The sequence below is a fragment of the Homo sapiens genome, chromosome 2 (assembly GCF_000001405.40).
Source record: "Homo sapiens chromosome 2, GRCh38.p14 Primary Assembly".
Classification (NCBI taxonomy): domain Eukaryota; kingdom Metazoa; phylum Chordata; class Mammalia; order Primates; family Hominidae; genus Homo; species Homo sapiens.
The window spans coordinates 88,026,822-88,040,357 of record NC_000002.12 but is presented as its reverse complement, the minus strand read 5'-3'; the positions used below and the strand labels follow the sequence as shown (position 1 = coordinate 88,040,357).

At 37.1% G+C, this 13,536-nt stretch overlaps 1 protein-coding gene across 3 annotated transcripts in view; it reads left to right on the top strand.

Annotated features, from left to right (window-relative positions):
* The window catches only part of KRCC1 (lysine rich coiled-coil 1), a 28,579-nt gene extending 15,426 nt beyond the window's left edge, over positions 1-13,153 (top strand). For 2 of the 3 annotated variants that reach the window (NM_016618.3, XM_017004292.3), the window contains exons 2-4: positions 3,307-3,415; positions 6,066-6,224; positions 11,773-13,153. In NM_016618.3, coding sequence (NP_057702.1) covers positions 11,795-12,574 — 780 coding nt within the window. In that variant the 5' untranslated portion in view covers positions 3,307-3,415; positions 6,066-6,224; positions 11,773-11,794 and the 3' untranslated portion in view covers positions 12,575-13,153. The remainder of the gene's footprint in view (positions 1-3,306; positions 3,416-6,065; positions 6,225-11,772) is intronic. The other variant, NM_001304526.2, reaches the window with a different exon arrangement.
* Positions 13,154-13,536: the final 383 nt, after the last annotated feature.

The window sequence follows — 13,536 nt, the reverse complement described above, 5'->3', positions numbered from 1 at the left end:
GTATTGAAAAATGAAAGAATAGCTTTGAAAATATTATAAAGCTAGAACAGACATGACTCAGGAGGAAAATGGCTGAGATTTTGAGCTTGAGAATATTTTGCTATTTAACATAAAAAATGAGAGCTTAGTTGGCAGAGGAATTAAAGGTAACCCCAAGTTTCTTACCTCAGCTTACAACATTGCCTTTTAGAAATGCCTGGTTGGTATTAAGGGTTGAACCAGGAAGGAAATTATTGTTCTATTTTAAGATATCTTGAGCTTCTAAATAACTAGTCCTCAGTAAGCTTTCCATGTATTCTGATTTGTTTGTCACCAAAAGACAGTATTTACCTGTTCTTATTAAAGATTTATTTTTGTAGAGACAGATGTCTCAATGTGTTGCCCAGGCTGGTCTCAAACTCCTGGTCTCAAGCAATCCTCCCAGCTCAGCCTCCCAAAGTGTTGGTACTACAGGCACGAAGCACTACGCCAAACCAAGATTTTTAATGGAAAAGTCACCATCACATCACCATGTCAGTTTTTGTACAATAATTCTGAGTCAAGGGAAGTTCTGAAAACCTTTGTATTAACCTTTTTACCTTGCTGACCTTAGAGTCAAATGTAATTAAGTCCTTTATTTTAAAACAACTAAAAAATAATTGAGATATTATATATAATATATATATATTTTCTGAGACAGTCTCACTTTGTCGCCCAGGCTGGAACGCAGTGGCGCAATCTTGGCTCACTGCACCTTCCACCTCCTGGGTTCAAGAGATTCTCGTACTTCAGCCTCCTGAATAGCTGGGATTACAGGCATGTGCCAACATGCCCGGCTAATTTTTTGTATTTTTAGTAGAGACAGGGTTTTGCCATGTTGGCCAGGCTGGTCTCAAACTCCTGGGCTCAAGTAATCCGCCCGCCTCTGCCTCCCAAAATGCTGGGATTACAGGCATGAGCCATCACACCCAGCCTGAGATACATTTTTAATACTCTTCAAGTCCTTTCTAAAATGTTTCTGATTTATAATTATCTTGAGCACATAATATTTTTAAGCAAATCTTTTTAACCCATACACTGGCATTAATATTAAGATTAGTTTGAAGATACCCAGTATAACTTAAATATTTATGGAATTTTTAAAAGTACAAAGTCCTGTATATTTTTTGCAAAAATTAATACAGAGATGTACAAAGAGCAATATGTTAAATGTTTGACCCTACTCATTTTTGACCCAATTTCCCATTTCTCAAACCCCATTAAGTTTAGCATATATCTTTTCAGATTTTTTTCTGTGGATACTGAGCTAACACACAAGATCAGACTGTCAAATCAAACGCATCAGGTTTACTAATTATTTCAAGGATACAGGCAGTCAAGAGACTCAACTGAAGCAGCGTGTCTAATACATGAAGGATGGCTCCTCAGACCATGTAATATGGTTAGGCTTTGTGTCCCCACCCAAATCTCATAATGAATTGTAATCCCCATAATCTCCACATGTCAAGGAGAGACCAGGTGGAGGTAATTGAATCGGGGGCAGTTTCCCCCATGTTGTTCTTATGATAGTGAGTTCTCCCGAAATCTGATGGTTTTATAAGGGGCTTTTCTCACTTCACTCAGCACTTCTCCTTCCTACCACCTTGAAAGGAAAGTGCCTTGCTTCCCCTTCACCTTCCACCATGACTGTAAGTTTCCTAAGGCCTCCCCAGCTGTGCAAAACTGTGAGTCAATTAAACCTTTTTCCTTTATAAATTACCCAGTCTTTGTTATGTCTTTGTAACAGTGTAAGAACAGACCAATACACCATGTTTTCCCCTTTGGACATGTATCTCTGGCCCAGAATAAATAGTTAAGGTTTCTAAGTAAGATTCACAAGATCACCTCACACAGTGGGAATGTTTAAATTGTGACTCATCTCCATGTTATACCCTAGAGAGTTGTATAGCTTATGTGGCATTCTTCAGAAAGAGATGTCTCATAGATTCTGGGTTTATTTACTACAGCTAATCTTTAGCCAGGGACATCTTGCTAAGAGCATTTTAGTGGTAAGATGTCTTCCTCCCAGCAAATATCATTAGGCTCTTTACTTGAGGTCTGGATGTCACCATCCTTGTCTTTTTCCCTCTTCTCCAGGAAAGGAAGTGAATGGATTGGAGGCCAAATGCATTAATTCCTTCCTTACAGTAAATACATATGTATATACTTAAGTTTGGGTTGTATATGTTGGGTTGTTTATACTAAAATTGGATTTTATGATTGAGCAATTGATTGAGTTCTACATATTGTTTTTCCCGTTAATATATCATGGGCATTTCTCCATGACATTACATATGATTCTAACTCATCCATTTAAACTGCCGTGTAGAAAGTACAATTTTGATGTTACATGATTGGCACCCTATGTATAAACTGGTAAACTTCTATAAAATAAATTTTAGCTGTTAGGAACTTTAGATTGAAGTATAGACCCCAAGTGTAAACGTAGTAATTTTGGCATAGATAATTCATTAAGTGAGAAACACTTTCAGCAAAAGTTGTAGAAGCTAATATGTGAATATGACTGTAGCTTTGAAGGGCTTGTCTGAGCTCTATTCAGTGAAATTTGTGTGGTTGTATTTGTACCAGCCATGGAAGAAGGTTGCCTACCACAGGTTAAGATAGTCTGTGGGCTGGGCTCAGTGGCTCATGCCTGTAATCCCAGAACTTTGGGAGGCCAAGGCGGGTGGATCACCTGAGCGCGGGAGTTCGAGACCAGCCTGGGCAACATGGCGAAACCCCATCTCTACAAAAAATACAAAAATTAGCCAGGTACAGTGACATGCGCCTGTACTCCCAGCTACTCAGGAAGCTGAGGCAGGAGAATCACGCTCTGGCCTGGGTGACAGAGCCAGACCCTGTTTTAAAAAAAAAATAAAGATGGTTTGTGGTTCCCCCATGTGATTCTCAGATGACATTGGTGATGTATCTAGAATCATTAGCTGTCTTAAAATCGACTGCATTTCTTGAGATTGTTAGCTTTAAAACATAAAATGCCAAGACTGGATTTCTTAGCCCAGGCTTTCAATATTGGTGCCCCAGTAACTTTTCCTTCAGGATGGTGTTTTGTAGACTAAAAAATATGTTAATATATTAAATATTACAGTCTTACTAAATATTTTCATATTAAAATTGTTATTCTAATGAGCAAAAATTTATTACTCTAGCCTTGCAAGCACTCAGAAAATTAAGATTTGAGATGGTATATGAAATATAGTAGTTGAAGTTTAAAAATATTACCTTAACTATTTAATATAATCTTCTGTCTTACCTCTCTTTTATTGATAGATACCACATTGAATGAACAAAGACTGAACTTTGTTTACAGATACCTTTTATAAAAGATGTCTGTGGAGTAGTGTTACAGTTCAAATAACAAAGGATTTTGCATTATGAGGTAGGTTGAAAATAGAAGGAATATGTCCTAATGTCACTTTTTAAATGTAGTGGGTAAACTTCATATATGTCATCTTATTTAATCCATACAAGAAAAGTATTGTCCTTTTGATGACTGACTCAGAAAAGGGAAATAACTTCCTGACTTACATTTGGGGAAGTAGGATTTAAATTCAGATCTTTCTAATTCTGAAGCTCATTTTCTTTTCCTTTCTCCATTCTGTCTTCTACCTTATCCAGAAAGCCACTGTATCAGTTCTTGTGGTAAATATAAGGAAGATATTATGAAGCTTGAGCAGGAAAATATTAATATAAGTCAAGAGATATTATAGATCCCCAGAGTCTTCCTTTACTAATCAAATTAATCAAAGGTTACAACATAATATGCAGCAGTCTTACCCTTGACTTTGCCTTGTTTTCAAGGCACAGGATTATAGAATGCTAGCATTGGAAGGTAAAATGTCTAATGATTGTACTTCCTTAGTTTATAGATGAAGAAACTGAGATCCGGAGGAGTAGTGATTATTTTTAGATAGTCATGGGCATGACTAAGCCAATAAATGAGATCTGATTCCCTGTCCAGTGTTACTTCCTTTTATATGGTATAGCTCCTCACTTGTATCATCTTTGCTGTATAATAGTATCCTGGAGAAAGAATAGTCTTTTGTATACTACATTACAATGGCTTTTCCCATTCTGCTCTTCTCACGCTCTGAGACCTGGATGAGCTACTGGATCTCTTTAATCTGTGGTGTCTGGGATACCAAAAGTAGTAGATACATTTACTTAAATGAAACATAAGGCCTGCTGTGGTTTTTTAGAGAACTCATCTAGTTTTCCCTCTTGATAATCATGTCAGAAACTGCATTTTATTTCATGTGTGATGGTTGAGATTAAAGTACCATAATTACAGTCATGTCTTAGCCTTGGATTGAGAGAACTTGGATTCAAGCCTTGACTCCACCATTAATTGCTGAGCAAATCACTTTGACCTCTCTAAGTATGTTTATTCAACCTGAAAAATGGAAGTGACAATCTCTGTCTTGCCCTAATTCTTAATCTACTGTATTCTAGTCTAGTATATTTTGGGCTCAGTCTTCAGAGCCCAGAGGTCTAAGAAATAGTCAAAGGGCGGGCTCTGTGATAACTTGAGTTTCATTGAAATTTTAAAAATAACTTTCATGGGATTATAAAGTAATATTCAATGTAGAAAAATACAGAAAATATACATCATTCATAACTGTGTTCTGAAAATGTTAGTGTCCTTTTCCCTACATTTACATTTTAGTTACTCTTACATGGTTGGCTTTAAATATATTCAGAGATTATTTTCTGTTATGGCTTGAACCCATAACAGTTTATTCCTTGTCTCATTTAAGAGTGTGGAGTTAGGCAGTACAAAGCTGTTAGGACAGTTCCATGATCATCAGAGAGGACCCAGACATTTTCTTTTTATTCTAAGGCCCTGACTTACTTCCTCATGTTCTCTGATGACTGTTTGATTTCTAACCATGGCATCCTCATTTCAGCAGCAGAAGGGAGGATCCCTCCTAGAATCCTACACAACACTTCAGCTTTCTTCTTATTGACCAGAATTATTCACATGGCTACATCTTGCTTTAAGAATGGCCAGAAAATGTAGTCTAAAAGACTAAAAGCTAGACACATTTCCTAAGGTTTGTTACTAAGGAAGAAGAAAAAAATGTATTGGAAGGCAACTGGTAGTCTCTGTCACAAACAGAAACATAAAACTTTGTGTTAGAAGTAATTCTAATCATAGGATTATCTACTGAAGCTGATACTTTGATTTGAAAGCAAGCGAAATTCTATTCGTAAACTTTTAGTTCAGACCAAATATATTAAAACTCACAAGTGCTTTTTCAATTTATAGTTCTTTTCAATTTATAGTTCTTTGGGGTATATACCTAGGGTAGAATAAATCTGGAGTAATTTCTTCTTAAATAAACAAAACTTATTTATTATTCCAGGGTAAAAAAAAATTGCTCAAAAAGTTAGGGCTTTACAAGCACAGAGAGACAAATACCATATGATCTCACTTATACATGAAATCTAAAAACTTAAGGAAGTAGAGAGTAGAATGGTGGTTACCAGAGGCTGGGTGGTAGGGTTGGGGAGTGGGGACAGAGAAAGGAAAGACATTTGCCAAGGGGTACAAAGTTACAGGTAGATAGGAGGAATAAGTTCTGGTGTTCTATTGCACAAGAAGGTGACTATAGTTCATGTATATTCAAAATGTATTTATTATTTCAATATTTTTAAAAGTAGCTGTAAAAGATTATTTTAAGTGTTCACGTTGCAAAGAAATGATCAACATTTGAAGTAATGACTATGCTAATTCACCAAATTTGATTATTCCACACTATATACATGTACTGAACTATCACATTGTATTTCATAAATATATACAATTATTACTTGTCAGTTAAAAATAAAACTATATAAAATATATTGTTATAAAAATAAAGTATGTTTAAACATTTTTAAAAGTTAGGGTTTATTTTCAGATTTATAAGAAGCAAATTAATAAAATGAAGGTGAATTTTGTGAATTTTCAGATGATTGGTCTATGTTGATGTGATTATAAACTTTGAATTATTTAATCTTTGTAACAAGATTGTGTTTGGTTTCAGATGAGTGAGAGTGGAGAATTGGACAAAAATTGATTTTTGATCTCTGAATTGTGGTTTTTAGCTCACCAGTTATTGTGTAGTCTCACTATTTGAAAATTCATGCTGAAAAACTGAGTGAATATGATCAGATTTCTCCACCAAATTCTCAGCCTGATAAGGGTAAGTAAGGTTCCATTCACCTCTTTATTCATCTCTGTGCCATCTGTGGTCCTTTGGAACTGGCTTCTTTCACATAGCATAATGTCTTCAAGCTTCATTTGTGTTGTAGCATATATCAGTACTTCATTCCTTTTTATGCTGAATAATATTATATGAATATACCATATTTTGTTTATCCATTTATCAGTTGATGGGCATTGGTTGGTTATTTCTACTTTTTAGTTGTAATGAATAGTGCTGCTGTGAACATTTGTTTACAACTTCTTGCATGGACATAGGTTTTCATTCTTTTGGCTATATATGGGTGGAATTGCTAAGTGGAATTGATGAAACTGCTGCTAAGTTATTTTCCAAAGTAGGTGCACCATTTTACATTCCCGCAAACAATGAATGAAGTTTCCAATTTTTCCACATTCTTGCTAACACTTACTAGTATCTTTTTTTCACTATAGCCCTCCTAGTAGATGTAAAGTAAAATCTTTTTATTACCAAAAAATTTCAAACATACTTAAAAATAAAGAAAATTGTATAATGAACCTTCATGTATCCATCACCCAATTTCAACAATTATCAACATCTTTTAAATCTTATTAGTGACTTTTTTTTTTGAGACGGAGTCTCTCTCTGTCACCCAGGCTGGAGTGCAATGGTGCAATCTTGGCTCACTGCAACCTCCACCTCCCGGGTTCAAGCAATTCTCCTGCCTCAGCCTCCCAAGTAGCTGGGACTACAGGCATGTGCCACCACACCCGGCTAATTTTTTGTATTTTTAGTAGAGACGGAGGTTTCACCATGTTGGCCAGGCTGATCTCCAACTCCTGACCTCAGGTGATCTGCCTGCCTCAGCCTCCCAAAGTGCTGGGATTACAGGCCTGAGCCACCGCGCCCAGCCATTAGTGACTTTGTAAAAACAGCATTATTGAGGTATAGTTAGCATATAATAAACTGTATGTATTTAAGGTATACAATTTGGTAAGTTTTGGCAGATGTATATAGCCATGAAAGGATCACCACAATCAAGATAATGGACATACCCATCACCGCCCAAAAAATGCCCCTTTAGAATCTTTTCTTCCCACCTCTCTCCCCAAGCAACCACTGTTATTATAGTTTCCATTTTCTAGAGTTTTATATAAATGGAATCATATCGTATGTACTCTTTTATCAGACTTCTATGACTTTTTATTTATTTATTTTTAGAAATGGGTTCTTGCTGTGTTGGCCAGGTTGGTCTTGAACTTCTGAGCTCAAGCAGTTCTGCCACTTCAGCCTCCCAAAGTGCTGGGATTACAGGCATGAGCCACTATGCCTAGTGTATCACTATTTTAAATAGTAAAAAAGAATTACAATTATTTTCGTTATTTTGAGATTCACTCACGTCATGTGTATCAATATGATTTATTCCTTTTTATCACTGATAGTATTTCATTGTATCGTTATACCACTGTTTGATTTAATCCATTCACCTGTTGATTGACATTTGAGTTTCTTTTCTTTCTGGGGCTATCACAAATAAAACTATATGAACATTCATGTCTTTGTATAGACACCCAGTCATGTGTCCGTTAACGACCAGGATACATTCTGAGAAATGTGTCATGATTTTCTCATTGGGCAAACATCATAGACTGATGGTATAACTTACTACACACCCAGGCTATATGATATAGCCTATTGCTCCTAGGCTACAAATCTGTACAGCATGTTACTATACTGAGTACTGTAGACAGTTGTAACACAACAGTAAGTGTTTGTGTATCTAAACCTATCTAAACAAAAAGACACAGTAAAAATGTGGTATGAAAGATAAAAAAATAGTACACTTGTGTGGGGCATTTAGCATGAATGGAGGAGCTTGCAGGACTGCAAGTTGCTCTGAGTCAGTGAGTGGTGAGTTAATGGGAAGGCCTAAGATATTACTGTACACTGCTGTAGACTATAAATACTGTAAACTTAGGCTACATTAAATTAATTAATTAATTAATTAATTTTGAGACAGAGTATCACTCTGTCACCCAGGCTACAGTGCAGTGGCGCGATCTCGGCTTATTGCACCCTCCGCCTCCCAGGTTCAAGCAATTCTCCTGCCTCAGCCTCCCTAGTAGCTGGGATTACAGGTGCCCACACCACACCCAGCTAATTTTTGTATTATTACTAGAGATGGGGTTTCACCATGTCGGCCAGGCTGGTCTCCAACTCCTGACCTCAGGTGATCTGCCTACTTCAGCCTCCCAAAGTGCTGGGATTACAGGCATGAGGCACCACACCCAGCCCATTAAATTTATTTTTAAAAATTTTTCTTGTTTTAGTAATAAATTAACCCTAGCTTACTGTAATTTTTTCACTTTATAAACTTTTAAATTTTTTTAACTTTTTGACTATTTTGTAATCACACTTAGGTTAAAACACATTGTCCAGCTGCACAAAAATATTTTATTTCTTTATATCTTTATCCTAGCCTTTTCCTATTTTATTCTTAACTTTTTTTTTATTTTTATTTTTTTATTTTTTTGAGATGGAGTCTCACTCTGTTGCCCAGGCTGGAGTGCAGTGGCACGATCTCGGCTCACCGCAACCTCTGCCTCCTAGGTTCAGGCGATTCTCCAGCCTCAGCCTCCCAAGCAGCTGGGATTACAGACATGCGCCACCATGCCCAGCTAATTTTTGTATTTTTAGTAGAGTCGGGGTTTCACGATATTGGCCAGGCTGGTCTCGAACTCCTGACCTCAAGTGATCCACCCACCTGGCCTCCCAAAGTTCTGGGATTACAGGCATGGGCCACCACACCTGGCCCTATTTTTTTTTTTCACTTGTTAAACTTTTTTATGAAAAGCTAAGACACAAACACACACATTAGCCTAAGCCTTCACAGGGTTCAGGATCATCATCACTGTCTTCTCCCTCCACATCTTGTCCCACTGGGGGGTCTTCAGGGGCAGTAACATGCATGGAGCTGTCATCACCTATGGTGCCATCTTCTGGAATACCTTCTGAAGGACCTTCCTGAGGCTGTTTTACAGTTAACTTTTTTTTTTAATAAGGAGAAAGAATATACTCTAAAATAATTTAAAATATAGTATAGTAAATAAATCATAAACCAGTTATCAAATCTTATGTACTGTACATAGTGTATGCTATACTTTTATATGGCAGTATAGTAGATTCGTTTATACCAGCATCACTACAAACACATGAATAATGAATTGTGCATTATTCACATTACTGTGACTTTTTCAGCTCCACTATAATTTTATGGGACCACCATCATATATTCAGTCCATTGTTGACCAAAAGATTATTATGCAGTGCATGACTGTATCTCCTTTTCCTTTAAGGAAATACCTAGAAGTAGAATAACTGCATCATATGGGGTAAATGTATGTTTAACTTCTTAAGAAACTGCCAAACTGTTTTTCAAGTGGTTGTACCATTTTACATTCCTATCAACAATATTTGAGAGTTCCAGATCCTTATCAGCACTGGTATTGTCAATCTTTTTCATTTTAATCATTCTGGTAAGTGCATAGTGGTATCTCATTGTGGTTTTAATTCACATTTACTTGCTGATCAGTGCTTTTAAACATCTTTTCATGTGCTTATTGGCCATTTGCATATATTCTTTTCTGAAGTATAGGTTAAAATAGTTTGCCCATATTTAAGCAAGTATTTGTTACATTATTTTTTATTATTTTTCTAGTCAGAATTTGTATACTATTTAAGTTGAACAAGAACTATATTTTCTAACTTGCCAAATTAGGCTTCATTTAGATTTTCTTTTTAACCTCAAATTTCCAAATTTGAAAAACTGGCTGATCATTAGTCTCAAAAAATTAGGAGGGAGTATATCCCATGTTGAACTGAACATTTCTTCCCTTTAGCAGAAACAAGCCTTGTTTCTGAGAGCTGAAGAAATGTTCAGTTCTACATGGGATATATGCCCTCCTAATTTTTTGAGATAAACTGTATCACCAAAAATATATAGGGCAGGTGGGACACAGTGGCTCACACCTGTAATCCCAGCACTTTGGGAGGCCGAGGCAGGCAGATCACCTGAGGTCAGGAGTTGGAGACCAGCCTGGCCAACATGGTGAAACCGCATCTCTACTAAAAATACAAAAATTAGCCAGGCGTGGTGGTGTGCACCTGTAGTCTTAACTACTCAGGAGGCTGAGGCAGGAGAATCACTTGAACCCTGGAGGCGGAGGTTGCAGTGAGACGAGATCGTGCCATTGAACTCCAGCCTGGGTGATAGGGCAAGACTCCATCTCAAAAAAAAAAATATATATATATATATTTTTTTATATATATATAATATTATAATTTCATAGTAAGTACATTTTCTGCTATATTTGTATTTATTCAGGATTTGAGGTGAGGAAAAGAATCAGGAACAGTCTTGCCCTTCCCCCCAAAAAAGAATCAAGCAAACAAAAATGGTGTATCTACTGCAAGTTTCTTCTGAAACTCTTCTCCAAATCAGTCCTATCCCTTTTCAGTTTTCACCCCTGTTTCTTCCCTTATTCCTCTCACCAGTACTTTAAGAGAGAACAAACCAGAAGACATTCTAGAATGCTTTTTTCACCAATCAGAAGTAGTGGAATGAAATCCAAGCCTACACAGAAGATACAGAACTCTGTGCTTTCATCTTCCCTCATACCTGATACCTAAAAGTAGTTTTCATCTTATAACTGAATTTCTGATTTTCAGCATTCCCAATCAATTTTATAAACATCCTTTTATTGTTAAGTCTTACAGTACTCTCGTCAGGTGAGTACGTTTATTTTATCTTGAGTAAACTGAAGATTTTAAAAATCAAATTCTGTATCTGTGGTTCCTTTACTTCTCTTAGAAACTAATATACAGGAAACCAATTCATGAGAACTTCAGAAATTAATTGAACATTAATATCAGCCACCCACCGTGGTTGTGTGGTTCCTATCCACACATCCCTGCTTATCTCACATTTTAGCCCTATGACAGCAACATGTGTATCGGTTCCTTTCTGCCCTCTTCGTCTCACTTCTGAGAAGGGTAAAGTTACTGGTACGTGACCTGGGAGGTATCTGACCATCCTGATGCTACCCTTTGGCATATAATGTCAAGATACTCAGCTTTTATGCTGAAATAGGTTGTAATTTGTTTGAGCTGCTTTGTTTTTCAAAGCTCTTTTTAAGAGCAAAGGAGGCCAGGTGCAGTGGCTCATGCCTGTAATCCTGGCACTTTGGGAGGCTGAGGTGGATGGATCACTTGTGGCCAGGAGTTTGAGACCAGCCTGGTCAACATGGTGATACCCCATCTCTACTAAAAATACAAAAATTAGCTGGGCGTGGTGGCACACACCTGTAATCCCAGCTACTCGGGAGGCTGAGGCAGGAGAATCACTTGAACCCAAGAGGCAGAGGTTGCAGTGACCCAAGAGCAACCCCACTGCACTCTAGTCTGGGCGACAGGGCGAGACGCCATCTCAAGAAAAAAAAAAAAAAAAAAAAGAGCAAAGGAAATGCTCAGGACAAGATGATCTGGTAAGAATTTTCTCCCTTTTTTGCAGAAAATCCCGTTTTGTCAACCTAATGAAGCATTCAAAGAAGACATATGACTCTTTTCAAGATGAACTTGAAGATTATATTAAAGTACAGAAAGCCAGAGGCTTAGAGCCAAAGACTTGTTTCAGAAAGATGAAAGGGGACTATTTGGAAACCTGTGGGTACAAAGGAGAGGTTAATTCCAGACCCACGTATAGAATGTTTGACCAGAGACTCCCATCTGAAACCATCCAGACCTACCCAAGATCATGCAATATTCCACAAACAGTGGAAAATCGGTTGCCTCAGTGGTTACCAGCCCATGACAGCAGATTGAGACTAGACTCTCTGAGCTACTGTCAGTTCACGAGGGACTGTTTCTCAGAAAAACCAGTACCCCTGAACTTTAATCAACAAGAATATATTTGTGGCTCACATGGTGTAGAACATAGAGTTTACAAGCACTTCTCCTCAGATAACAGTACCAGTACTCATCAAGCCAGTCACAAACAGATACATCAGAAGAGGAAAAGGCACCCAGAGGAAGGCAGAGAAAAATCAGAGGAGGAGCGGTCTAAGCATAAGAGAAAAAAAAGCTGCGAGGAAATTGACTTAGACAAACACAAGAGCATCCAAAGAAAGAAAACAGAGGTGGAAATAGAAACCGTACATGTCAGTACAGAAAAGCTTAAGAATCGAAAGGAGAAAAAAAGCCGAGATGTAGTCTCTAAGAAAGAGGAACGTAAGCGTACAAAAAAGAAAAAGGAACAAGGCCAAGAAAGGACAGAGGAGGAAATGCTTTGGGACCAGTCTATTCTTGGATTTTGAAGCTTTCAAAGTTGGTTCTCCCAAAGTTAAATTGAAAAAATAGGTGAGAGCTTGGTTTTATGATATCCGTGTTCATACCACTTTTCTTATGTGAATAGGTTCTTTAACTTCTAACAAAGGCCTAGTAAACAAAGTGTTTAGCATGCTTGCTCTCCAACACAGAAATTGCTTTTCCTCATTTTCTAAAAGCATTATTACATTTTTTGAACATATAGTGTAATTTCCTTTAATGAAAGTGACTCTGCTTTTATTCATCAAATTGCTTTGATGGTGGAAATATTTTCTGTTGGGAGGTTATTTATTTTAAATTGGAGGATTAATGACCTTTGCACAATCTGTTTCTTGATTGGGTTTGTTATAGTTTTGAGTTGGGTATTTTATGTTCATTGGTTTTTCTCTGTGAAGCAATTTTTTTCTCCTTTATTAGATCTAACTTGCAGTGTATTTTCTAGGCTGGAAAGTGGAAAATGAAATATATTATAATCTTAGGTTACATAAAGTTTCTAAAGTTTCAAAGAGTCTTGATACAAAATCAGTTTATATTCTGAAAATATTTATAATAAAGTATTCTAATTTCTACATGTTGTTGTGTGTCAGTCTGTTCCTATTTAACAATGATTTTTCTCTTGGGAGGAGGAGAGAATAACTTGGCAGTTCATCATACTTAACAGGCAAGATCTTTTGGGTAGGTCACACTTTGAAGCTGTAAAAATTCCTTATCTATCATACCTTGCTTGCTCACATTTGAACCTGGTTTTTAAGGTAGAAATCTATGACTGACTGTTACAGGACCCCACCACTTACCCAAAGTTAGCCTTTGGGTCGGGGGTTTCCTCACTATAGTCCCTTCACTGGTCGCCAGAATGATGTTATAGGAAAAGGGGTCCGAATCTAGACCCCAAGAGAGGGTTCTTGGATCTCACGCAAGAAAGAATTCAGGGCAGGTCCATAGAATAAAGTGA